Source organism: Homo sapiens, chromosome 9 (genome assembly GCF_000001405.40).
Source record: "Homo sapiens chromosome 9, GRCh38.p14 Primary Assembly".
Classification (NCBI taxonomy): domain Eukaryota; kingdom Metazoa; phylum Chordata; class Mammalia; order Primates; family Hominidae; genus Homo; species Homo sapiens.
Genome location: NC_000009.12, coordinates 129,993,538 through 130,020,391, shown reverse-complemented (window position 1 = coordinate 130,020,391; position 26,854 = coordinate 129,993,538). Strand labels below are relative to the sequence as shown.

Below are 26,854 nucleotides of genomic sequence, written 5' to 3'. Positions count from 1 at the left end.
CTAAAAATACAAAAATTAGCCGGGCGTGGTGGCGGGCGCCTGTAATCCCAGCTACTTGGGAGGCTGAGGCAACAAGAATCACTTGAAACCTGGAGGCAGAGGTAAGCAGTGAGCCAAGGTCGCGCTACAGCACTCCAGCCTGGGCTACAAAGCTAGACTCCATCTCAAAAGAAACGAAAAAGAAAAGTCAAAAGACCATTCTGGAGTCCTCTGATGAAATGAGATCTATGTCGTTGGTATGAAAATGAACATCATTCACATTGTTTCCTAGGCAGAGTCACTGCTTTTGATGCTATTTGTATCATGGTAGCGTTTTGACAGCCAACAGGAATTTCCTTCTTAGTATTCACATTGAGAAATGTGATTAAACATCATTCTGTTGCCTAAAAGGCAAATCAGCAGCTAGAACAGCTTTAAAAGGGACCATGGCAGCCACTCTCAAGTTCTGTAGCCTTTTTTGTTTTGTTTTGTTTTTAATCTAATGAGGTCCTGTGAAAATAGCCCAGTGTTTGCATAGATAAAATAAGCATTGTGGGCCGGGCGCGGTGGCTCACGCCTGTAATCCCAGCACTTTGGGAGGCACTCCAACCTGGGTGATGAAGCGAGACTCCGTTTCAAAAAAATGAAAATAAAAAATAATAAATAAGTAAATAAAATAAGCATTATGCATTTGACCACTTGAAAAAAATGAGGTTTCTCTCTGGCTAGCCATTACTCCAAAGATCAAAACAAACAACAAAACAAGCAAGAGTGGTTATCATTTATTTCTTTCCAGTTAACTATTGCCAAATTTGAATTTATATGGCAGATTTTGGTTCCAGATGGAGCAGTCATGATGATCTGCTTTTGGAAGTTCACTCATTGATTTTTGTAAACTTCAGCAAGTTACAAAATTGATATTCCAAAATATTTTCTTAAATCACTCCAAAGTTGTATCTTTCATCTGACATCACTATTGAACCTATAAAGACTTTTTATGAAACCTATGCAATCTAATTGTTAGTTTAATCCAAAAAAAATCATTTGGCTGGCTTATGATCATTTTTATCTGGGGGAGAAATATAACAATTTGATCTTTTTTTTTTTTTTTTTGAGACAGAGTCTTGCTGTGTCGCTAGGCTGGAGTGCAGTGGCGCGATCTCGGCTCACTGCAACCTCCGTCTCCTGGAAGTCTAACTCTCATCCAGGCGGGAGTGGAGTGCCTTGACGCAGTCTTGGCTGACTGCAACCTCTGCCTCCCAGACTCAAGCGATCCTCCCACCTCGGCCTCCTGAGTAGCTGGGACCACAGATGCAGGCCACCATGCCCGGCTAATTTTTTTGTATTTTTGGTAGAGACAGGGTTTCACCATATTGCCCAAGCTGGTCTTGAACTTATGAGCTCAGGCGATCCACTTGCCTCGGCTTCCCAAAGTGCTGGGATTACAGGCGTGAGTCTCTGTGCCCAGCCCTAATCATCTTTTTTGATATATTATTTTACTGTTTCTAGCTAGCAAAAGATGATTCTTGCTTGCTTAAAATAAAGTCCCCACTTCAGGTTTTCAGGGAACAAGAATTTACAGTTTGTAGAAATTCTCCTTGTACAATTTAGCTACACTATATTCTTATTTTTTATGTGATAAGCAACTGTACTTAAAAGTAGACTATCTTGGCTGGACATGGTGGCTCATGTCTGCAATCTCAGCACTTTGGGAGGCAGAGATGGGCGGGTGACTTGAGGTCAGGAGTTCGAGACCAGCCTGGGCAGCATAGTGAGCTGAGATCACGCACCAGTGCACTCCAGCCTGGGTGACAGAGTGAGACTGTCTCTAAATAAATAAATAAATAAATAAATAAATACCCAAATGAGTAAACTAAAAATTTACAGCACTATTGGTCACACCAAGTCTTTTATTGCAAGGAAGAGGGAGGTTTGTAGGCTCTACAGCCTGAGACGCTAGAGCTGGCTGCCTGCATGCCTGTCACAGGGTTTCTGTCTTACTAGTAGGGGTGAAGTCACTTCACTGCTATGTTAGTTTCCTCATCGGTAAATGGAAATAATAATAGTATTGTACTTAATGCAACAGAACTATTCACTTAAAAATGATTAACATGGCAAATTGTATGATATATATATACACATACACACACACACACACTTTAAACACACTTTTTTTTTTAAACAAAAGGGAAGAGTATTAGCCGGGCCCAGTGGCTCAGGCCTGTAATCCCAGCACTTTGGGAGGCCGAGGTGGGTGGATCACAAGGTCAGGAGATCGAGACCATCCTGGCTAACACAGTGAAACTCTGTCTCTACTAAAAATATTAAAAAATTAGCCAGGCGTGGTGGCAGGTGCCTGTAGTCCCAGCTACTTGGGAGGCTGAGGCAGGAGAAGGGCATGAACCCAGGAGGCAGAGCTTGCAGTGAGCCGAGATTGCACCGCTGCACTCCAGCCTGGGCGACAGAGTGAAACTCTGTCTCAAAAAAAAAAAAAAAAGAAGAGTGTTGTATTGGGGAGGTAAAAAAAAAAAAAAAAAAAAACCACGTTAGACCAGACCATGATGTCCATTGTTTTTTATTTTTTTGATGGAGTCTCACTCTGTCACCCGGGCTGGAGTGCAGTAGTGCGATCTTAGCTCACTGCAACCTCTGCCTTCCGGGTTCAAGTGATTCTCCTGCCTTAGCCTCCAGAGTAGCTGGGACTACAGGCACCCACCACCATACCTGGGTAATTTTTGTATTTTTAGTAGAGACTGGGTTTCGCGATGTTGGCCAGGCTGGTCTTGAACTCCCAACCTCAAGTGATCCTCCTGCCTTGGCCTCCCAAAGTGCTGAGATTACAGGCGTGAGCTACCGCACCCAGCCTGGATTTGTTTTTAAAACATGATATTAGTGTGTTAATTACATTCACATTTGCCTAGAAGAAATTTGTAACAGAAATAGGAGCTCAAAACATTGAAATGAGATGAAGCAACAAATAATTTAAAGCCACTTAAAAATAGAGCCAAACATGGTGGGATTTCTTTGAAATATCTGTTAATGTTTATTTTTTAAAGCTGAATACTGTTCAGTTATTAAGTAGAACCAACTACCCGTGTATAATTAATGAAAAGAAAACACTTGTGCTAGGTTTATAGGTATATAAACACTTAGATATCTCACATTCTTTGGCAACAGCTTAGGGAAGGCAGCCATGTACTAGAGACTTTTAGCTTTTTTTTGCAGCTGATCTCAGGGACTTGAAGAACTCCTTATGGTATGATTGAATTATTTTTTAATAGGTAAAATTCTCACGTTATTGCATGCTCTTCATAAATTACCTTTTTTTTAAAAGAGATGGGGTCTTGCTATGTTGCTGAGGCTGGTCTCAATCTCCTGTGCTCAAGTGATTCTCCCACCTCAGCCTACCAAAGTGTTGTCATTATAGACATGAGCCACCCTGCTCTGCCAAATGACATTTTTAACAGCTCCATGAGATCAGGGGACTCTTCTGTTCACAGTTACATCCCCAGCACCTTGCAGAGTCACTGGCACATTCCTGAAACCCAACATAATAAACTACGTATGTGAACAAAACCAACTCTGACCACAGGCTAGAAAGAATTCAGTAGAAGTTTCCATTGACTCATTCATGCATTAAGCAAATATTTTCTTTTCTTTTCTTTTTTTGAGACAGAGTTTTGCTCTTGTTGTCCAGGCTAGAGTGCAATGGCGAGATCTTGGCTCACCGCAACCTCCTCCTCCCAGGTTCAAGCGATTCTCCTGCCTCAGCCTCCTGAGTAGCTCTAATTACAGGCGTGCACCACCACGCCCAGCTAATTTTGTGTTTTTAGTAGAGACAGGGTTTCTCCATGTTGGTCAGGCTGGTGTTGAACTCCCAGCCTCAGGTGATCCGCCAGCCTCGGCCTCCCAAAGTGCTGGGATTACAGGTGTGAGCCCCCATGCCCGGCCTCAGCAAATATTTTCAAAGGACATCTAGATTGGTAGTGCAGTATGTCTTGACTGATAGTGGGGGATGTGATGAATCAGGTATTGTGAAGAAGAAACTCATGTTAGAACTACCTGAACAATGCCAAGAGCACCTCCTGGTAAGTGGAGTTTCACAAAAGGAGTATTAAAAGGGCACTAATCCCATTCACAAGGGGCCCACCCTCATGACCTAATCACCTCCCAAAGGGCCCACCTCCAGGTACCACTGCACTGGGGATTAGGTTTCAACATATGAATTGGGAAAGGGAGGCATAAACATTCAGTCTGTAACAATAATATATAAAATTTTAAATCAAACTAGATAAACATTTATTCAAAATAAGACAGTTACCTTAATATATAAGAAGTTTATGCAAAACAATAAATACAAAATTTCTAATAGATGAATGAACAAAGATTAAGAAGAGAACAGTTACAAAAGGAATTCCAAATTCCAAATGAAAATGTCTAAAACATTAATTTCATGAATAATTAAATAAATGCACTTTGGGAGACCGAGGCAGGTGCATTGCTTGAGCCCAGGAGTTCAAGACCAGCCTGGGCAATATGGCAAAACCCCATCTCTACAAAAGATACAAAAATTAGCCAGGCATGGTGGCTTGCGCCTGTAGTCCCAGCTACTCAGGAGGCTGAGGTGGGAGGATCACCTGAGCCCAGGAGGTTGAGGTTACAGCGAGCCGAAATTGTGCCAATGCATTCCAGTCCAGGCAACAGAGTGAGACCCTATCTCCAAAACAAAACAAAACAAAAGAAATAAATGCAAAAAAAGCAATTTGCCTACCAAATAAGGTAGTTTTTTTGTTTTGCAAATGGTAGTATTCAGTCCTAGTCAGGGTTCAGCAAGTTAGGGATCCTTGTATACTGTTGGTGAGTGTGTAATTGGTTCACCTTTTCTAGTAAAGACCTGGGCAGTAGTCGAGGCTGGATTTTTAGCCAGGATGCTTGGTACTGCTGGCCTCTTCTGATTGGACAGGGAGTCTATTGATAATGGATTGTTAAATAGTTTTATTATCATTCCTGCTAGAAGGTATCAAGACACTTTAAAATGTTCATATACAGAGACCTATTGGTTTTCCTCATGGGAATGTAAATAAATTTTGAATTAATCTTTCTGATATTTCTTCATAGCTCTGTACTGTAAAGACCTACTAGTATGTGAGCTCCATGAGAATAGAGAAGTTGTGTCTTCTTTTACCTGCTAGGCCCTCAGTTTCTAGAATAGTATTTGGCATAGTAAGTGCTCAATAAAATATTTGTTGGAAGAATGGATGGGTGTATGTGTTTTGGGCATACAGTAGAAACAGCATATGTTGCTTACTGTAATGTTTTGTGTTCTCTTTTAAGAACATTTTATTTGACAGTATTTATTATATTAATATTACTGTGGTGGTATATGAAAAATATTTTTGGCCTTTAGACAGTAATCGTCCGGGATTTTTTTTTTTTTTAAGAAGTTTTTCCCCCAAGGGTGAAGTCTTTTTTGCAATCAATCATCAATCCATAGTTGGGTACTAAATGATGCCCATTTTCTGAAAAATGTTTTTTTTTTTAAGGGAAGAAAACAGAGGAACATCAATCAAGGAAAAAGTAATAGTTCAATACTTTATGTAATAGCTTTTTCTATTCACTTAAGTTTTTCCTTCATAAATGTTTTACCTTCATTTTTGATCTCTAATTGGCAGAGGCTCAAGTGACCTTAAGTATCTCTTATCCTGAAGATTTTCCTATCAACCAAATTGTAAACTAATAAATAATTATGGCATATTACAAAAGAATGTATGAAAATATGTATGTATAGAATAATATGTACAAAAATAGCAGTAAAATGCACATCCATGTACATGCCACCCAGCCTAAGAAATAGAACATTAGGCTGGGCACGGTGGCTCATGCCTGTAATCCCAGCACTTTGGGGGGCCGAGGCAGGTGGATCGCTTGAGGTCAGGAGTTTGAGACCAGCCTGGCCAATATGGCAAAACCCCATCTCTACTAAAAATACAAAAATTAGCCAGGCGTGGTGGCGTGCACCTGTATTCCCAGCTACTTGGGAGGCTGAGGCAGGAGGGTTGCTTGAACCTCGGAGGCAGAGGTTGCCGTGAACCGAGATTGCGCCATTGCACTCCAGCCTGGGCGGCACAGCAAGACTCCGTCTCAAAAAGAAAAAAAAAAAAAAAAGAAAGAAAGAAATAAGAAATAGAACATTATTCCAGAATCTCCTGCTGGCCCCTCCCTGATCACATCCCTTTCTAAGCCTCTGCCACCCTATTTGAGTGTTCAGAATTTTGCATTGAACATATTCTGTTATTTTTACAGTTTCATCCTGTATGAATATACCAGTAAAATACATTGTTTAGTTTTGCCTATTTTTGGACTTCAAGTAGAATCAGATGGACAGGTGGGTTTGTCTTAGTCTATTTTGTGTTGCTATAGCAGAATACCACAACCTGGGTAATTTATAAACAGTAGAAAATTATTTGGCTCATGAATCTAGAGGTTGGAAAGTCCAAGAATATGGTGCTGGCACCAGTTGAAGGCCTTTTGCCACTTAGGGCAAGAGAGCAAGAGGGCATCAAACTCCCTTTTGTAACAAGCCCACTCTTGAAATAACTAATCCACTCCTTTGATAATGATATTAAACCATTCAGGAGGGCTCTGCCATCTTTTATTTGGCCCCATTTCCCATTAAGTTTCTGACACATGAACTTTGGGGAACACATTGACAACAAAGCAGGTTGTTGCCAATATTTTTTTTAGCATGAATTATGCTGCTATAAACATTCATATGCATGTCTCTTGGTGCACATGAGCAAGAGTTATTGTCTAGCTCCTAAACCTTAAGATATATACCTAGAGATGTCATACAGAGGCACAGGTTCACCTTTACTAGGTAAAACCAACCTGTTTTCCGAGGTCCCCAGCAGTGTGTGAATGTTGCCATTACACCACGTCCTTGTTTACACTTGGTGCTCTCTGACTTTAAATTTTTACCAGACTGATGGATATGAAATGGTATTTCATTGTGGTTTTAATATGCATTTCCCTGATTACTAATTAAGCTAAATATATTTATTGCTTAAAATTCTTATTTATTTATTTTTGCCCCTTTTCCTGTTAAGTTATTTGACTCTTTTTAGAACAGTTGGAGCCAGGCACAGTAGCTCATGCCTGTAATCCCAGCACTTTGGGAGGCCGAGGCAGGGGGATTGCTTGAGCCCAGGTATTCAAGACCAGCCTGGGCAACATAGTGATATCCTGTCTCTTAAAAACATAAAAAATAGAACAATTGAAGGAGTGCTATCTATATTCTAGATACCAATTCTCTGTTGATCATATGTGTTACAAATATCTTCTCCCAGTTTGTATTTTTTATGTTCACTTTCCTCAATGCTATCTTTTCGTGAACGGAATTTTTTAGTTTTTTAGTTTTATTGACTTTTTTCATTATGGTGTACACTTTTTGATGTCTTGTTTAAAAATCATTTCTGGCTGGGCGTGGTGGCTCACGCCTCTACTCCCAGCACTTTGGGAGGCTGAGGTGGGCAGATCACGAGGTCAGAAGATCAAGACCATCCTGGCTAACATGGTGAAACCCTGTCTCCACTAAAAATACAAAAAATTAGCCTGGTGTGGTGGCACGCGCCTGTATTCTCAGCTACTTGGGAGGCTGAGGTAGGAGAATCGCTTGAACCCAGGAGATGGAGGTTGCAGTGAGCCGAGATCGCACCACTGCACTCCAGCCTGGGCGACAGAGCGAGACTCCATCTCAATTAAAAAACAAAACAAAACAAAACAAAACAAATTTCCTACCTCAGGATCCAAAAGATATTATCCTATATTGTCTCCTAAAAGTTTTATAGCCTAGCCTTTTACATTTAGGTTCTTAATTCTTAATCCACCTGGAATAAGTTTTTGTATATTTTTAAAAGTAGAGGTTTTATCTCATTTTTCCCGATAGATATGCAATTATCCCCGTACCTCTTATTGAACAGCTTGTTCTTTCCCCACTGGTTGATGACAATGATGATGATGATGATGAAAATGATAGCATTAACACTTACTGAGGGCTTACCATGTGCCAGGCATATGCTAAGCATGAGGTAATTTACTAATCCTTTTAGTAACTCAGTGAGTAGGTCCTGCTTCTATCCTCTTTTGAGTTGAGAAACAGCAACACAGAAGTTAAATACTTGCTTCATGTGGCATACCTAGTAGTCAAAGAGCCAGCATTCAAACCAATTTATTCTAGTTCCAGAATCCAGATTCTTAGCCATTAGGCTCTGCATCTTTTCTACATGGCTACATCTATCCTAAATCAAAAGTCATTTTTGCATGGACCTGTTCCTGGCCTTTCAATTCTTTGTATTTGTCTATGTCTTTGTCCCTGGCCAATAGCACAAAGCCTCTTAATTAACTTTAGAATAAGTCAGTATCTGGTGTGGCTACTATTCCTACCTTGTTGTTCTTCAAGAGTGTTTTGGCTATTAATTGACCTTTGCATCTTGATTTAAATCTTAGAATTTTGTTCTCCAGAAAACTTGTTGGGGTTTTAATTGAACTGCATTGAATCTGTAGATAATCTAGGGGAGGATTGATATATCTATAATATATGGCCTTCCAATCCATGAACATGGTATATTTCTATATTTATTCTGTTTTTCTTTAATGTTGTCTTAGTCCATTTGTGCTGCTATAACAAAATACCTGAGAGTGGATAATTTATAAACAACAGAAATTTATTTCTCACAGTTTTGGAGGCTGGGAAGTTCAAGATCAAGGTGCCAGCAGGTTCAGTGACTGGTGAAGGCCCATTCCTCAGATGGTGCTATCTAGGTGTTGGTGTTGCCACATGGGGAAGGGATGGAAGAGCAACAGCAGCTCTCTGAAGCATCTTTCATATGGGCATTAATCCCATCCATGAGGGTGGAGCCTTCATAGCCTAATCAGTTCCCATAGGCACCAGCTCTTAGTACTGTCACCTTGGAGGTTAAGTTCCAGCATGACTTTTGGAGGATACATTCATTAAAACCTTAGCAAATGCATTTTAATAAAGTTTTATACTTTGCTCTATTATGTTCTTGCACACCTTTTATTATGTTTGTTTCTGTCTACTTGTAATTCTTCATGCTGTTATAAGTAATAATGTTATATATATTTTATATATATATATATATATATATATTTTTTTTTTTTTTTTTTTTTTTTTTTTTGAGATGGAGTCTCACTCTGTCACCCAGGCTGGAGTGCAATGGCACCATCTCAGCTCACTGCAAGCTCCGCCTCCTGGGTTCACGCTGTTCTCCCGCCTCAGCCTCCCGAGTAGCTGGGACTACAGGTGCCTGCCACCACGCCCACCTAACTGTCTCTTGCTTTTCCACCTTCCTTCCATCTCTGCTGTCTGTTTGGCTTGGCTGATTTTTACTTATTCTTCTCATTTCCTCTTAGAAATCCCTCCCTCTGAAAGGCCTTCCCTAATCCCATGTCTATCTTGAGCCCTGCAAGTCTATGTTTCTACTGCTCTTTTAGCCTAGAGTGCTCATTAGCACTCTACTGTTCCCTACTCTCATTCCAGTGCCAGTACAGAGCTTGGCTGAGAGTGAGCTCTCAATAAGAATGGTTGAATTATAGCAACATTTTGGAAGGAGACAAAAAAAAAAAAAAGACCCAAAGAAAAGTGGCTTAGACAACAAGGGCACATTTTCTATCTCACATGACAAAGAGTCCAGAGGCAGGGAAATTCCAGGTTGGTGTCTCAGTTCAGTAATAGCTGAGAAATTGTCATCAAAAAGCCAGGTGCTTTCCATCTCTGGCTCTGCCATTTCAAGCATCACAGGTAGCTATGACCACGTCAAGTAAAGAAGAGGAGGGAGCCGGGTGCAGTGGCTCATGCCTGCAATTCCAGCACTTTGGGAGGCCGAGGCAGGCAGATCACTTTAGGTTAAGAGTTGGAGACCAGCCTTTCCAACATGGTGAAACCCCATCTCTACTAAAAATACAAAAAGTATCCGGGTTTTTTTGGGAGGAAACCTTTCTCAGTACGTGTTTAGTAGATATCTGCTACATCTGGTTAGCCAGGGTAATGTCACATGCCCATGTCTGTGTTGCAAGAGAGATGGAGAAAGTGATCCTGTAATAAGACAGGTGCTCTGCCAAAGGGAAGATGGGATGGATGGGGGATAGCTGCTAGATTGTCAGCCAAGATGCTCAGACAAAAGTGTCTGTTGCAAGGGATATCTCACAGAACCAGTGGCTGGATGAACAGGCCAGTCTCACAAGGGACTTAAATTGGCCAGTGGAAAGTCCACAGGTACATTTTGAACATATGGGGGTAATAATGTCTTGTGTTTGCTTTCCTCTTCATCTCTGCAGATTAGCGTTTTTTCCACTAATTTGGCATGCACATGGACAAAAATTGCCTCTTAGCGATTTTTTTTTTTTTTTTTTTTTGAGACTGGGTCTTGCTCTGTCACCCAGGCTGGAGTACAGTGGCACAATCTCGGCTCATTGCAACCTCCTCCTCTTAAATTCAATGGATTCTCTTGCCTCAGCCTCCTGAGTAGCTGGGATTACAGGTGCAGGTGCGTGCCGCCATGCCAGGCTAATTTTTGTTTTTTGTTTTTGTTATGAGACGGAGTCTTGCTCTGTTACCAGGCTGGAGTGCAGTGGCACGATCTCGGCTGACTGCAGCCTCCACCTCCCGGGTTCAAGCAATTATCCTGCCTCAGCCTCCCGAGTAGATGAGACTACAGGCCCATGCCACCACACCCAGCTAATTTTTGTATTTTTAGTAGAGTTGGGGGTTTCACCATGTTGGCCAGGATAGTCTCAATCTCTTGACCTTGTGATCCGCCCGCCTTGGTCTCCTGAAGTGCTGGAATTACAGGCGTGAGTCATTGTGCCCAGCCATTTTTTTTTTTAGTAGAAATGAGGTTTAGTAGAGATGCCCATGTTGGCCAGGCTGGTCTCAAACTCCTGACCTCAAGTGATCCGCTTGCCTCGGCCTCCCAAAGTGCCAGGATTATAGGCGTGAGCCACTGCGTCCAGCCCCTCTTAGCAATTTTTACCTTTTAGCTCTAGCACCTATTCCCATAGAGTTTTTCATGCAAGTCCTTGAGTCAGATGCTCAACTATGGCAGTGGGGTTGAGAAGTGGGATCCCTTCTCTTAGAAAGGGACATCACCTATGTGTTTGCAGAGCCATCTTAAAGTGGGAAGTGAATGAATTGGCAAGCGTTTTAGTGGAAAATCTTTTTCCTTGGTGTTAACTAAGTTTCAGATGCCAGGGCCTTAAACATTTTTTTCCTGTAATATTTTTGTAATATTTTGCACCCACTCTACCACTGCCCCCTCCAACTTGGAAATATTTAGAGTTTAGAAATAAGTCAGGACTTTAAAAATCTGGCTTTTTCTTCTCATTAATAATTTAGCTTGTATACTTCTTTCTTCTTTAGTCTTTGGATTGCATTCAAAGTTCTCCCTGGTATTTAGAGTGAGATTTCTTTCTCTCTCTATCACCCTCTTTTCTTCCTTTCCTGGGTCGGTCTTGAACTTGTTTTCTGGGGGAGAGAATCACCTATGGAGACTAGTGTGGGATGTTTGAGAGGCACAGTTGGTTTTCCAGGGCTGAGAAGAATGCAGGACAGCTAGAGGCGGGGAAGCTGGTTGAACCTTTGCACCTGCTGATTGATCAAGCTTGGGAAAGAGACCAATTCATATTTAGACAGCTTTCGTGGTCCAATCTCTGCATAGAAATCAGGAAATGAACCAGAAGATTCCGTTTTCAGGTTGAAGCCAGACACTGAGGGGCTTGACTAAGCTCCTCTTGCTTACAATAAAATGGAGCATTTTTTAAATTATAAAGAGCAAGATTTTGCTTTCTGAGATTAGCGTCGATCTTTCATCAGTGTTGATGCAGCCAAACACAGTTACAAGTTATATCCATCCTTCTAAGACTAATTTTATAACTTCATTATCCCTAATACTTTTCCTCTTCAAGTTATTTGACAATACCATACCTATCTGGAGGAGTAATTTTTAAACTATTTAAAAAATTAGGTGGTTTTTTCGGTTTGTTTTTTGAGACAGAGTCTCACTCTGTTGCCCAGGCTGGAGTGCAATGGCACAATCTGGCTCACTGCAGCCTCGACCTCCCCAGGCCCAGGTCATCCTCCCACCTCAGCCTCCCAAGTAGTGGGACCCACAGGCGCATGACACCACACCCAGCTAATTTTTATTTTTATTTTTTGTGCAGAGTGGGTCTCGCCATGTTGCTCAGGCTGGTCTCGAACTCCTGGGCTCAAGTGATCCTCCCATTCAGCCTCCCCAAGTGCTGGGATTATAGTCATTGAGCCATGACGCCCAGCAGAAATTAGGTGTTTTTTTTTTTTTAATGAAAAAAAGTAAGCAGTTTAATTTTTTTTTTTTTTTTTGAGACAGAGTCTCACTCTGTCACCCAAGCTGGAGTGCAGTGGTGCGATCTTGGCTCACTGCAACCTCCACCTCCCAGGTTCAAGTTCCTGAATAGCTGGGATTACAGGCGCTCGCCACCATACCCAGCTAATTTTTGTATTTTTAGTAGAGACGGGGTTTTGCCATTTTGGCCAGGCTGGTCTTGAACTCCTGACCTCAGGTGATCCAGCCACCTGGGCCTCCCAAAGTGTTGGGATTACAGGCGTGAGCCACCACGCCGGCCTTAAAATCTTATTTTTTTACAGTGTCTTTCACTCCGCATCTTTGGGGCAGTTAGAGATGTTTGTTTTTGTTTGTTGCTTTTACCGCATCCGTAGAAACAAGAGAGGAACTGAAAGTGACTAAGGTGTTCTAAGAACGTCAAAATAGGCTAGAAGTTTATTGCTGCTTTTTAAAGGGATACATTCCATAGCAGTTTCCCCTCCTAATCTCATCTGCTCAGACTCTAGCACAGTCAAAATTCTGGCACTTTTTCTACAGGTTGTGATTTTCCCCTTTCTCTTCATTTCAGAACACATTTGGCTCAGAGCACCGCTGCATTCATTAGTCCTGAGGCTTCTACTTTCTGAGCCCTTCCATTTGTTGCACATCCAACAACAGCCTCCTTAATGCCCTTTTACACAATATAATTATTGTTATAAAAATATGAAAATGCAACTTTTTGTACTCTATGTGTCTTTCTGCATTCTTTTTTTTTTTCTTTTTTTTTTTTTTTTTTGACAGGATCTCACTCTGTTGCCCAGGCTGGAATGCAGTGGTGTGATCACAGCTGTCTGTAGCCTTGACCTCCCAGGCTCAAGTGATCCTTCCACCTCAGCCTCCTGGGTAGCTGAGACTATAGGCGTGCGCCACCACACCCAGCTAACTTTGTGTATTTTTTTTTTTTGTAGAGATGAGGGTCTTGCTATGTTGCCGAGGCTGGTCTCAAACTCCTGGGCCCAAATGATCCTCCTTCCTCAGCCTCCCAAAGTGCTGGGATTATAGGCATGAGCCGCCGCACCCGGCCTCCACATTCTTTATATCACTAACTTCATCCATATGCAGCTGCCTCCTAAACTTCAGCTAAGTTTTATTTTTTTAACCCACACATATATTTTTATCATATATTTGCTTACATTCTTATCTCGTGTTCAGAATGCAACTACAAAGAGCCATGAACGTAGTGTTTTCATTTCTACAACAGAAACAGACTCCTTAGTGTTTTCATTTCTGCAACAGAAACAGACTTATGACTAATTATAACAATTAAGCCTAAGTTTGTACCTGTTTTTATTTTATTTACTTATTTGAGACGAAGTCTTCCTCTGTCGCCCAGGCTGGAGTGCAGTGGCACCATCATGTCTCACTGCAACCTCCGCCTCCTGGGGTCAAGCGATTCTCCTGCCTCAGCCTCCCAAGTAGCTGGGATTACAGGCGCCTGCCACCATGCTTGGCTAGTTTTTTTGTTTTGTTTTGTTTCTTTTTGAGACAGAGTATCACTCTGTCACCAGGCTGGAGTGCAGTGGCATAATCTCAGCTCACTGCAACCTCCGCCTCCCAGGTTCAAGCGATTCTCCTGCCTCTGCCTCCAGAGTAGCTGAGACTACAGGCCTTTGCCACCATGCCCAGCTAATTTTTGTATTTTTAGTAGAGATGGGGTTTCACCATGTTGGTCAAGATGGATTTTTTTGTATTTTTAGTAGAGACGGGGTTTCACCATATTGGCCAGGCTGGTCTCAGACTGCTGACCTCAAGTGATCCACCCGCCTTGGCCTCCCAAAGTGCTAGGATTACAGGTGTGAGCCACCATACCCAGCCTGTACCTGTTTTTAATGGCAAGTTCTAGAATTGCATTTTAATGAGATTTGAATTCAGTAAGACCTTTCATTTTGTGTGCTTTTCCTTTCTAATTAAAATCTGTTGTATTAACTTGAATGTACAACTAGGGCACTGTGGTGCTGGAGCCCCTTTTTGTCAGTTACCTCACAGGCTCCTGCTATAGGAGACATTTTCAACCCAGGGAGCACAGCACCCTAATTCAAAAACCAGTTTCAGAAACAGCAGATGAATATATGATTTTGTGGAATCTGCATCTACTCCTATTGTCAAAACATAAGGTATCTGTGATCCTTGAAATAAACCTTCTATTCCTAAGTCACCATAGTGTTTGGAAGAAAAACAACAAAAGGAAAAAACAAATAAACCTTCTAATTCTGCCTTTCACATGTAATTTATTCTTTTTGTGGGCAAGCAATGAAGTCACTTTGGGTAATCCTTTTTCATCACTTTTAGGTTGAAAAATATATTTGAGTATTTCTGCTTTTAATATTCTCAATTTGGCAGGGCACAGTGGCTCACGCCTGTAAGCCCAGCACTTTGGGAGGCTGAGGTGGGCAGATCACAAGGTCGGGAGATCAAGACCATCCTTGCTAACATGGTGAAATCCTATCTCTACTAAAAATACAAAAAATTAGCCGGGTGTGGTGGCGGGCGTCTGTAGTCCCAGCTACTCGGGAGGCTGAGGCAGGAGAATCGCTTGAACCCGAGAGGCGGAGGTCGCAGTGAGCTGAGATCGCACCACTGCACTCCAGCCTGTGCAACAGAGCGAGACTCCGTCTCAAAAAAAAAAAAAAAAAATCTCAATTTGTCTATGGAAATTAATTTAAATCTTTGTTAAAAGCTCGAGAAGTTAATTTCAGGTGGTATTTGTGATGGCACATTTTTGTTTGTAAAGTTCTTTTTTGAGACAGAGTCTGGCTGTGTCACCCAGGCTAGAGTGTAGTGGTGCGATCTCAGCTCACTGCAACCTCCACCTCCCTGGTTCAAGTGATTCTCCTGCCTCAGCCTCCTGAGTAGCTGGGATTACAGGTGCAAGCCATCATGCCCAGCCTTTTTTTTTTTTTTTTTTTTTTTTTTGAGACAGTCTTGCTCTGTCACCAGGCTGGAGTGCAATGGCGCCATCTCATCTCACTGCAACCTCCACCTCCTGGGTTCAAGCGATTCTCCTGCTTCAGCCTCCCAAGTAGCTGGGACTACAGGTAGCTGCCACCATGCATGGCTAATTTTTGTGTTTTTAGTAGAGACAGGGTTTCACCATGTTGGCCAGGCTGGTCTTGAACTCCTGATCTCAGGTGATCCACCCACCTCAGCCTCCCAAAGTGCTGGGATTACAGGCGTGAGCCACCACGCCCGGCCTGTAAAGTTTTATAAAACTTTCTACGTTTCTGTAAGTGCAGCTTCTTTAATATTCAGAACCAAATTGATTTTTTAAAACATTTTAAATGGATATTTTCTTACAGTTACTCTTTGAGTAAATCTATACCCTCTGACACATTTTCCTCCACAGTTTGAGGAAGCTAATGCTAGTAACATAATCCTAAGGGATTCTGTTTAAACAGAGCCATTTAAGTCCTGCTTCTTAAAATGCCCAAGTCCTCAGGAAGGTGAATTTATCAAAAACTGGAGTATACAGAAATAGCAGTCTAGATAGCACAGACCAAAGTAGTCTCAGTAGTGTGGAGGAGATCATTCCCTTCACTGGGTGAATAATTCACTGCAGGAGAGATTTGCTTGCAGAGGGGGACTGGCCTCAGGACCCCCTTTCCTGGAGTCTGTGCCACTTACATAGGTAATTTTAGCAACTTAGTCTCTTACTAGATTGGCTTATTCCAGGGATTTTGAATTAATGTTGGTTTAGTACACTTTTTTTTTTTTTCGAGATGGAGTCTTGCCCTATCACCCAGGCTGGAGTACAGTGGCGCGATCTTGGCTCACTGCAACATCTACGTCCCAGGTTCAAGCGATTCTCCTGCCTCAGCCTCCAGAGTAGTTGAGATTACAGGTGTGAGCCACCGCGCCCAGCCGGTTTAGTACACTTTTTAATTACAGGAAAACACCATATTAAAGTTGACCTAGACTTTGGAGGAAAACTTCCTTGTGGATGACTTGGGTCTCCTCATCTCAAAGTAAATAGCTTTTCTGAATGTAGTTCCTGTGACAACTCTTCTGCATAATTTGAGCAAAAAATAGGTTACAGAAGACTACTTTTTTTTTTTGAGGCGGAGTCTCGCTCTGTCGCCCAGGCTGGAGTGCAGAGGTGCGATCTCAGCTCACTGCAAGCTCTGCCTCCCGGGTTCACGCCATTCTCCTGCCTCAGCCTCCCGAGTAGCTGGGGACTACAGGCACCTGCCTCCATGCCCAGCTAATTTTTTGTATTTTTAGTAGAGCCGGGGTTTCACCGTGTTAGCCAGGATGGTCTTGATCTCCTGGCCCTGTGATCTGCCCTTCTCGGCCTCCCAAAGTGCTGGAATTACAGGCGTGAGCCACCGTGCCTGGCCAAGACTACTTTTTTGTTAGTTTTTGTTTGTTTTTTGAGACAGAGTCTCGCTCTGTTGCCCAGGCTGGAGTGCAGTAATGAAATCTCGGCTCACTGCAGCCTCCACCTCCCAGGTTGAAGTTATTCTCCTGCCTCAGCCTCCCGAGTAGCTGGGATTACAGGTATGTACCTCCACTCCTGGCTCATTTTTTTTGTAGTTTTAATAGAGACAGGGTTTCGTCATATTGGCCAGGCAGGTCTCAAACTTCTGACCTAAAGTGATCCGCTGGCTTCAGCCTCCCTAACTGCTGAGATTACTGCTGAGACTACAGGTGCGTGCCACCATACCCAGCTAATTTTTGTAGTTTTAGTAGAGACAGGGTTTCACTATGTTGGCCAGGCTGGTCTTGAACTCCTGACCTCATGATCCGCCTGCCTCGACCTCCCAAAGTACTGGGATTACAGGTGTGAGCCACGTGTGCCCAGCCAATTTTTGGGTTTTTATTACAGATTTGTGAGGGCAAGATTTTTTTTTTGAACTTAATGAAGATATAATGACCCAAACCAATGCCATAGCCCATGCTTATTGTAACTTAATCAGAATATAGTACCTAAAACCAGACCTGAAAATAATTGTAAAAAGTAGCAATTGCATATTGATTAACACAATAACACTTTCTTCATTCAACTCTTCAGTTTATTCAGCGTCTCATAACTAACAGCACCTGGCACACACCTTTGGTTGGTTTGAATTCAAGGAGCAGTGTGAGGTCAAGGTCAAGGGGGAGTGTAAGGTCAAGGTGAAGTGTGATGTTGGGTGAGTGGTTCAGCGAGGTTCCTGAAAGGTACCATCAGGTTGTAACCAACAGCTTGGAAACATCCATTTGTAGTCCTCTTGGCAATCTTAGAGTGAATAGTTGAAAGTATGGGTTATAGTCTGTTCAGTGGTGCTTACACAGGAGTGTCCGAGGCTAGGTAATTAATAAAGAAAAAAATCTTTGTTTGGCTTATAATTCTGATGTCTGGAAAAGTTCAAGATAAGGCACCTGCATCCAGAAAGGGCCACAGGTTGCTCCATTCATAGTAGAAAGTAAAGAGGAGCCTGCATGGCAGAGGTCACGTGGCCAGAGAGGGCACAATAGAGAGGGGGGAGGTGCTGGGCTCTTTCTAACAACCAGCTCTGGCCAGGACTCATAGAGCAAGAACTCACCCATTACGTCAAGGACGGCACCAAGGTATTCATGAAGGATCTGCCGCCATGACCCAAGGCCTCCCATTAGGCCCCACCTCTGACATTGGGAATCAAATTTCAACATGAAGTTTGAGGGGGACAGACATCCAAACTATAGCAGTATGTATACACAGTATGCACCTATAAAATAAACATTATTTTCTATTAGGTTGTTTATTACCTAAGTTTCTTAATGTTTAGAATGTGCAACTTTGAAATATAAATTTTATTTTATTTATTTTTTTAGATGGAGTCTTGCTTTGTTGCCTAGGCTGGAGTGCAATGGCGCGATCTCGGCTCACTGCAACCTCCGCAGGTTCAAGCGATTCTCCTGCCTCAGCCTCCCGAGTAGCTAGGATTACAGGCATGGGTCTCCATGCCCGGCTTTTTTTTTTTTTTTTTTTGAGGCAGAAGTCTTACTCTGTTGCCCAGGCTGGAGTGCAGTGGCGCGATCTCAGTTCATTGCAACCTCTGCCTCCAAGGTTCAGATGATTCTCCTGCCTCAGCCTCCTGAGTAGCTGGGATTACAGGCGCCCACCATCATGCCTGGCTAATTTTTTTTTTGTATTTTTGTAGAGATGGGGTTTCACCATGTTGGCCAGGCTGGCCTTGAACTCCTGACCTCAGGTGATCTGCCTGCCTTGGCCTCCCAAAGTGCTGGGATTATAGCCGTGAGCCACCATGCCCGGCTAGGAAGAAATTTTTGTATTTTTAGTAGAGATGGGGTTTCACCATGTTGGCCAGGCTGGTCTCGAACTCCTGACCTCAGGTGAGCCACCTGCCTCAGCCTCCCAAAGTGCTGGGATTACAGGCCTGAGCCACCACACCCAACCTGAAATAGAAATTTTAGCATATATGTTATATGATAGTGGTTCTCAAAGTGCAGTCCCTGGACCTCTGGAGTTTCCTGAAACCTTCTCATGGAGTTTACAAGGTCAAAACTATTTTATTAAGGATTGTCTTTTTAACCGTGTTGACATTTGCACCAACGTTACAAAGGAAATGGTGGGTAAAGCTGATGCTTTAGTATCAGTTAAATCAAGGCTGTGGCTCCAAATTGCACTGGTAACTACTATATTCTTCACCATTAGCTGTTTTTTTTTGTTTTGTTTTGTTTTTTTGAGATGGAGTCTTGCACTGTCACCTGGGCTGGACTCATTGCAACCTCCGCCTCCCGGGTTCAAGCAATTCTCCCATCTCAGTCTCCCGAGTAACTGTTATTACAGGCGACCGCCACCACACCCGGCTAATTTTTTGTATTTTTAGTAGAGATGGGGTTTCACCACGTTGGCCAGGCTGGTCTCGAGCTCCTGACCTTGTCATCCGCCTGCCTCGGCCTCCCAAAGTGCTGGATTACAGGCGTGAGCCACCATGCCCAGCCCACCATTAGCTGTTTTAAAAAATTTCAGTTTTACTTGAAAATGTTCTTAATGAAACAGTGAAGATTATTCATTTTACTAAATCTCAAACCCTTGAAGATACATCTTTTTAATAGTGTGTATAGTAAGATGAGAAGCTCTTTAGTGCAGACTAAAATACATGATCCTGAGTTGTAAGTTGAACTAGCTGCTTTTTTCATGAACACCATTTTTACTTCAAAGAATGAGCGACAGACAAACTTTTGAGTATCTGGCAAACATTTTCTCAAAAATAAATGAAGTGAGCCTGTCACTTCAGGGAAACAGCTGGCAATGTTTGTTGCCAATGATAAAATTCTAGCTTTAAAGTGAAAATTAGAACTTGGGGAAATTGTTTTTCCACTGTGAGTTTGACAGCTTCCAAATATTAAAGACTCATCAGAAAAGATGAGATTGGTACTGATATAAACAAATGTGATTCAAAAAAAATATTTTACAAGAAATGTTTCAACAGTTGGAAGATCTGCATATATCTATGATATAATATTTTCTTTTTTTCTTTTTTCTTTTGTTTTTGACATGGAGTCTCGCTCCATCACCCAGGCTAGAGTGCTGTGGCGTAATCTCAGCTCAGCCGAGATCAGCAACCTCCCCTTCCCAGGTTCAATCAATTCTCCTGCCTCAGCCTCCCGAGTAGCTGGGATTACAGGTGACCACCACCACACCCAGCTAATTTTTGTATTTTTAGTAAAGACGGGGTTTCACCATGTTAGCCAGGCTGGTCTCCAACTCCTAACCTCAGACGACCCGCCTGCTTCTGCCTCCCGAAGTGCTGGGATTACAGGTGTGGGCCACCATGCCCGGCTGAGATAATATTTTCTAAATGATCAATGAATAATTTACATGATCATATACAGGTAAAAGATCCATTCAAAATGTAAGGTGGACCAGTGGATCTTACTGTAGCTGAGTTGGAAACTGCATCTCTATGGTTTCAGATTTCATATTGCAACTAGCCTTTGAGAAGCTATGATTTGTCAAGTTTTGGTGTGGTATCAAAGGAGAATGTCTGCACTGATCTAAAAAGGGCCTTGAAGTGTCCTTTGTTTTCTAGCTACGTATCTGTGTGAAGTTGTGTTTTTTTCACATATTTCAGCCAAAGTAAAGAATCGTAATAGATTGAATGCAGAAGTCTCTATGATAATCCAGCTGTCTTCTATTAAGCTAGACATTAAAGAGATTTGCAAAAATGTAACACGGTGCCATTCTTCTTACTGTTTTGTTTTGGAAAGTACAGTTTTAAAAAATAAAAACATGCTCTTTCCATTAACATGTAATGGTAATGGGTTTGTTTTCTTTTTAAATGAATAAATACCTTTAAAAATCTCTCCATTTTAAATTTCTGATTGAGTAAATATTGATAGATGTAACTCACACAAAAGCTCTTCGGAATTCTCAATGATTTTTTTTTTTTTTGAGACAGAGTCTCACTCTGTCGCCCCAGGCTGGAGTGCAGTGGTGCGATTTCCACTCACTGCAACCTCTCCCTCCCAGGTTCAAGTGATTCTCATGCCTCAGCCTCCCGAGTAGCTGGGACTACAGGTGTGTGCCACCATGCCTGGCTACTTTTTGTTTTTCTTTTGTAGAGATGAGGTTTCACCATGTTGGCCAGGCTGGTCTTGAACTCCTGTTCTCAAGTGATCCACCTACCTCGGCCTCGCAAAATGCTGGGATTATAGGCATGAGCCACTGTGGCTGGCTGGTTCTCAAGGATTTTTAGGAGGGCAAAGGGGCCCCCAGAACCACCGTGATGTGACATCAGGCAGGAAGGGATGCATTTTTGATGACACCATCCCCAAAGTAGCAAAGGCTGTTTTTAAAGAGCCGTTTATAATATTTGTTCACAAAGGAGTCCTTTTAAGATTTGGATTTTTTTTTCCATTAACTTTTCCACATTTTAGTCAAGAATGTAAGTGGGTTGATTCGTTTTTCATCTGTCTTGAATTTTCTTCTAGCTGCTGTCAAGTCAGTGCTGCAGCAGTTCATGTGATAGTGAGAGCGTGGGGGCATCCTCAGGTTTCACAGAGCATCAAAAGAACTCTGCTATAGTCACAAACAAGCACCAGCTCATTTGTTACTGAGTAAGGTTTTTATTATTAAGATCTTCTATCTTATTTGGGCTCTGTCATCTTGGTAAACGCTTTATTATAGCTTGTAGAATGGTCCTGAATAGAGATAACTTTATGGAAAACATATTGTTGGATTGAGGCCAGTAATTTTTAAGGTGGACTCAGTTCAAATGTAGATGGGCTTTTTCTGTTGTTTTCAAGGGCTTTGGTATCGAAAGCTGTTGCTTTGTATAGTATACATCAGTTTGAATGCAAAGTGATATGGTGGGGGGAAATCTGTAGTCAGGTTGTTAATAGGCCAAGAATGAAACCTAAGAGCATATCCTCTGGGCAAGTTTTCAAGGTGGCACCTATGACTGCTGAAAACAATCAAGGCTTTGGAGATTATGGGAAATCATACAGGGAGAGGGCTTTTTTGTTTTTTTTTTTTTGAGGTGGAGTTTTGCTCGTTTTGACCAGGCTGGAGTGCAATGGCCCCGTCTTGGCTCACTGCAACCTCCACCTCCTGGGCTTGAGCGATTCTCCTGCCTCAGCCTCCCAAGTAGCTGTGATTATAGGCGTGCGCCACCAGGCCCAGCTAATTTTGTATTTTTAGTAGAGACAGGGTTTTACCATGTTGGCCAGGCTAGTCTCAGACTCCTGACCTCAGGTCTCAAACTCCTGATCCTCCCGCCTCAGCCTCCCAAAGTGCTGGGATTACAGGTGTGAGCCACCGCGCCCGGCCATTTTTTTTCTTTTTTTTTTTTTTTCGAGACAGAGTCTCTGTCTTTCGCCCAGACTGGAGTGCAGTGGTACAATCTCGGCTCACTGCAACCTCTGTCTCCTGAGTTCAGTGGATTCTCCTGCCTCAGCCTCCTGAGTAGCTTGGATTACAGGTGCATGCCACCATGCCTGGCAAATTTTTGTATTTTTAGTAGAGATGAGGTTTAGTAAAGATGACTGTGTTGGCCAGGCTAGTCTCAAACTCCTGACCTCAAGTGATCCGCCCACCATGGCCTCCCAAAGTGCTGGAATTTTGGATGTGAGCCACCGCGCCCAGCTGGGAGAGGGCTTTTAAATAAAGGAAAGGGTGTTTATGTTTTTGGTTTTTGTTTTTTGAGACAGGGTCTTGCTTTGATGCTCAGGCTGGAGTGCAGTAGCCTGATCATGACTCACTGCAGCCTTGAAGTCCTGGGCTCAAGTGATCCTCCTGCTTCAGCCTCCCTAGTAGCTGGGGCTACAGGCATGTGTGCCATGATGCCCTGATAATTGTTAATCATTTTAAAAATAAATATGATTACTGTGAAACTAGATCCACAAAGGGTTACTGATAAGCAGAGGGCTTTGACGAAGTCGTGCTCTCAATTTGTAAGAATGATTTGTAGTCATAGCTTGAGTTGTGTGTATATTTGTTCTCTCAAGTAGTTTAAGGTGATCTTCAGTCTCGTTTACACTATTAGCTTACTTGATGACCCTTGACTTTATAAATAACATAATCTAGTGTTTCTTAAACTGAAATCTAGGGGTTTGTGGAATATATATTATTGAGGACCAAGAATCAACTTTAAATATTAAAAATTATTAGTCATAAAGACAAACATTTTGCACTTTTGTTTTATAATTTTGTATTTAATTTTTTGAGACATAGTCTCATTCTGTCACCCATGCTGGAGTGCAATGGTGTGATCTTGACTCACTGCAACCTCTGCCTCCTGGGTTCAAACAATTCTCCTGCCTCCCTCAGACTCCCGAGTAGCTGGGATTACAGGTGCCTGCCATGACGCCCGGCTACTTTTGTATTTTTAGTAGAGATGGGATTTCACCATGTTGTCCAGGCTGGTCTCGAACTCCTGGCTTCAAGTGATCCACCCGCCTTGGCTTCCCAAAATGCTGGGATTACAGGCGTGAGCCACCTCACCTGGCCAAAATCTCAGTCATACCTTAATAAAGTGGTTTTAAAAAAAAACAGGCCGGCCGGAGGCAGTGGCTCACACTTGTAATCCCAGCACTTTGGGATGCCAAGGCGGGAGGATCACTTGAGCCCAGGAATTCAAGACCAGCCTGGGCATCATAGTGAGACCTCCTCTCTGCAAAAAATACAAAAATTAGTGAAGGCATGGTGGCGGGTGCCAATAGTCCCAGTTACTCAGGAGGCTGAAGTGGGAGGATCACTTGAGTCTGGGAGGCAGCAGCAAGCTGAGATTGCACTACTGCACTCCAGCCTGGGGGAAAGAGCACGACTCTGTCTCAAAACAAACCAACCAACAAACAAAAAACAGTCTGAAGTAAGACACTGAATGTATACTGTTAGATTGCACAAGCGTAGGATTAAACACTAGCTTTATATTTTTATATTTGAGTTGGCACTTCCCCATTTCGCATGATCCTCATGACTGATTTGTGAAATTAGGAAATTAGATTATAGCTGCGTCTTACAGGCAAATGACTAAAACTTGAAACATTTGGGGGCCTGTCTCTGTGAAATCCCTTTGCTGGGGCTAGAACCCTCATTTATGACTGTTACCTCTCAGGAGGCAGCAAATTTTCCATGGAGAATTCCATTTCCACTGGAATTCTCTCTTCCCTGTGATGTGCTCATGCCCCCTCTGGCTCGCCCCCTTAGTCCTTTCTGGGCTCTGCTTCCTGGGCCAGGCCCTCTTTGCTAATTCTGTGTATCCTTGCTGTCGTCTTTGGTGTTCTGATCCTCGGCTGTTGCTTGAGATCCACCTACTCACTTGATGCCCTTCTTGAGTTCTAAATCCTTCTGTGTTTCCAGCTCTCTTCTGGACAGGCCAGTCCCTCATTCAACATGTCAAAACAACATTTAATTTTCACCCCAAACTGTAGCTCTTTCTTATCTGGATCTTCTGTTTAATTCCGGGAAGCAGAACCTGAAAGTCACTCTGGAATCCTCCCTCCCCCTCATACCCTTGCCAGCCTCCACGTCCAACCGGCCACTCACACACTAGTTGATTGTGTTTGTTAAATGTCCCTAGAATTCTTCCCTTCTGTGCCTATTTTGTCTCATCTAGACTGTTGGAGCCATTTCCTGGCTTTCTCTTCCAAGTCCTCTTGTGCCTGCTGGAGAGTCTAAACTCCTAAGCTCGTCCTTCAAGGCCTTGGGTGATCTAGCTCTGAGCTGTCTCTAGTTTCATCACTCGCCAACTCCACTTCCCTTCTGCCCCACCCACCTCCACCTTGCACTCAAAGACAAATTCACTTGATTCCTGGATATCTCCATGTCTTTGCATTAGCTGTTGCTAGCATACCTGTCCCCTCTCATTCTTTATTTGGGGGGACAGAGTCATGCTCTTATACCCAGGCTGGAGTGCAGTGGTACAACACCATGCCCAGCTAATTTAAAAAAATTGTTTTTGTAGAGATGGGTTCTGTGTTACCCAGGCTCCCTCTTGTTCTTCCAGACCAGAAACCCCAAGGCACAATGCAAACTCAGGCTGTATTTTTGTTCATTTTGGTTCCCCAGCTCCAGGCACTGTTCCTGGCTCACAGTGTGGGTTTGGTGTATGTTTGGAAGAATAAAATCCATGTGTTTTATTTTAATCATTTGAAGAAAGCAAAATTTTGTAACACTTCCCCCCGTTCCTCGGCTCAGATTCAATCAGCTGTTTTGAATGATTACCCAGAGATAACAGTTAAGGTGCAAACCGTGTGTGGCTGTGTTTGTGTGTATGTTTCACCTGTCGGTTTTTGGCGTCTGGGAATGACATTTTTCCTTGCACTGAGACATCAGTTATATCTGAAAACTATGTTTCTAAAAGGAATAGGAAATATGAATGAATAGGTCAGAGTTCAGTACTCCAGGCGGTTTTCAAACCAAATTTGGTAATGTTGATTTAAAATGGCTCAACAAAAAAGCACCCCAAGTATAATCATGGAAAATATTAGTACTACTTTGTATGTAGTAATATGTTGTTAAGAGAATTATTCATTGAAATTATGTTAATCACAGGGAAAGACCATAACTTCTCTCTTGGTTTGTTTCAACAGGATCAGTTTGACAACTTAGAAAAACACACACAGTGGGGAATTGATATTCTTGAGAAATATATCAAGTTTGTGAAAGAAAGGACAGAGATTGAACTCAGCTATGCAAAGCAACTCAGGTAAGTTGATATTGAAAAAGGTTATTTGTTAACTGCAAAATGATGTAAGGATAACGTATATTCTCATTTTACAGTATAAATGTATATTTTAAATATTTTTCCTTTTATGTAAGGTAATATTTCAATAGAAGTGATTGTTTTTCATACAGAAAATTAATTTTCATAGAACATTAAAAATAAAAACTAAATTACTGCTTTAAGGCCCAGTTTTTTTTTTCAACAAGATATTTGCTGAGTTTTGGAGCAGCTTGTTTCTCAGTAAACTTTTTATTGAAATATATTAATAACATATGTACAGAGAAGTACACAAATCATAAGTGTGCAGCTCCATGAATTTTGACAGTGTGAACACACTCATGTAACCGGGCACCCAGGTCAAGAAACAGAAAGACCAGCCTGGCAGGCCCCCTGGCCCCCTCCAGCTCCCCACTCTCCCCCCAGCGGTAACCACTCTCCTGACTTCTAACCGCGTGGATTAGTAGTGCCCACTTTTGAACTTTACATGAGTGTAATCATTTGGTATGCATTCTTGTGTATCTGGCTTCTTTTGTTCTATATTACGTTTGTGAGATTGACCATGTGGTAGCATGTGGTGGGATCTGCTTATTTTCATTGCTGTTGAGTGTTTTGGTCTGTGAATGCACCAGAACTCATCCGTTCTGACTAGGTGATTGGTTGTTTCTAATTTAAGCTATAATGAGTAGCGCTCCAACGAGCATTATTGTACAAGGCTTTTTGTGTGTATCTGAACACATTTCCTAGGATCTACGTAGGCATCTAATTGCAAGGTCACAGGCTACTCATATGCTTAGCTTTGGTGGATAGGGTTCAGCCATTTCCAGTGTGCTTGTACTAATTCACACTCCCTTCTGTAATGTGTTGAGGGGTCATGTGGAATAGTATTTTAAAAGTACTTCGGGCCGGGCGCAGTGGCTCACGCCTGTAATCCCAGCACTTTGGGAGGCAAAGGTGGGCGGATTGCCTGAGGTCAGGAGTTCGAGACCCGCCTGGCCAACATGGTGAAACCCCGCCTCTACTAAAAATACAAAAATTAGTGGGGCATGGTGGCAGGCGCCTGTAATCCCAGCTACTTGGGAGGGTGAGACATGAGAACTGCTTGAACCCGGGAGGTGGAGGTTGCAGTGAGCTGAGATTGTGCCACTGCACTCTAGCCTGGGTGACAGAGTAAGACTCCTTCTCAAAAAAAAAAAAAAAAAAGTGCTTTGGGGCCAGGTGTGGTGGCTCATGCCTGCAATCCCAGCACTTTGGGAGGCTGATGAGGGAGGATAGTGTGAGCCCAGAGAC

The 26,854-nt window shown here is 42.5% G+C and overlaps 1 protein-coding gene across 38 annotated transcripts in view, besides 8 other annotated features; it reads left to right on the top strand.

The window, feature by feature from the left end:
• FNBP1 (formin binding protein 1) overlaps positions 1-26,854 on the top strand; it is a 166,693-nt gene that overhangs the window by 33,488 nt on the left and 106,351 nt on the right. For all 38 annotated transcript variants that reach the window (NM_001439055.1, NM_001439054.1, NM_001439053.1 and 35 more), the window contains exon 2: positions 25,434-25,549. Coding sequence is in view for 35 of the 38 variants with exons in the window: in NM_001439054.1 (NP_001425983.1) it covers positions 25,434-25,549 (116 nt within the window). In the remaining 3 variants the exon portion in view is untranslated. The remainder of the gene's footprint in view (positions 1-25,433; positions 25,550-26,854) is intronic.
• Positions 9,633-9,712: an enhancer, noted in NCBI's record as "active region_29143". NCBI's record gives its function as "activates an Ori minimal core promoter by ATAC-STARR-seq in GM12878 lymphoblastoid cells {active_cell/tissue: GM12878}" and the evidence as "EXISTENCE:reporter gene assay evidence [ECO:0000049][PMID:35858748]".
• Positions 10,293-10,342: an enhancer, noted in NCBI's record as "active region_29142". NCBI's record gives its function as "activates an Ori minimal core promoter by ATAC-STARR-seq in GM12878 lymphoblastoid cells {active_cell/tissue: GM12878}" and the evidence as "EXISTENCE:reporter gene assay evidence [ECO:0000049][PMID:35858748]".
• Positions 12,392-12,441: an enhancer, noted in NCBI's record as "active region_29141". NCBI's record gives its function as "activates an Ori minimal core promoter by ATAC-STARR-seq in GM12878 lymphoblastoid cells {active_cell/tissue: GM12878}" and the evidence as "EXISTENCE:reporter gene assay evidence [ECO:0000049][PMID:35858748]".
• Positions 12,602-12,751: an enhancer, noted in NCBI's record as "active region_29140". NCBI's record gives its function as "activates an Ori minimal core promoter by ATAC-STARR-seq in GM12878 lymphoblastoid cells {active_cell/tissue: GM12878}" and the evidence as "EXISTENCE:reporter gene assay evidence [ECO:0000049][PMID:35858748]".
• Positions 23,728-23,797: an enhancer, noted in NCBI's record as "active region_29139". NCBI's record gives its function as "activates an Ori minimal core promoter by ATAC-STARR-seq in GM12878 lymphoblastoid cells {active_cell/tissue: GM12878}" and the evidence as "EXISTENCE:reporter gene assay evidence [ECO:0000049][PMID:35858748]".
• Positions 23,818-23,917: an enhancer, noted in NCBI's record as "active region_29138". NCBI's record gives its function as "activates an Ori minimal core promoter by ATAC-STARR-seq in GM12878 lymphoblastoid cells {active_cell/tissue: GM12878}" and the evidence as "EXISTENCE:reporter gene assay evidence [ECO:0000049][PMID:35858748]".
• Positions 24,058-24,337: an enhancer, noted in NCBI's record as "active region_29137". NCBI's record gives its function as "activates an Ori minimal core promoter by ATAC-STARR-seq in GM12878 lymphoblastoid cells {active_cell/tissue: GM12878}" and the evidence as "EXISTENCE:reporter gene assay evidence [ECO:0000049][PMID:35858748]".
• Positions 24,748-24,877: an enhancer, noted in NCBI's record as "active region_29136". NCBI's record gives its function as "activates an Ori minimal core promoter by ATAC-STARR-seq in GM12878 lymphoblastoid cells {active_cell/tissue: GM12878}" and the evidence as "EXISTENCE:reporter gene assay evidence [ECO:0000049][PMID:35858748]".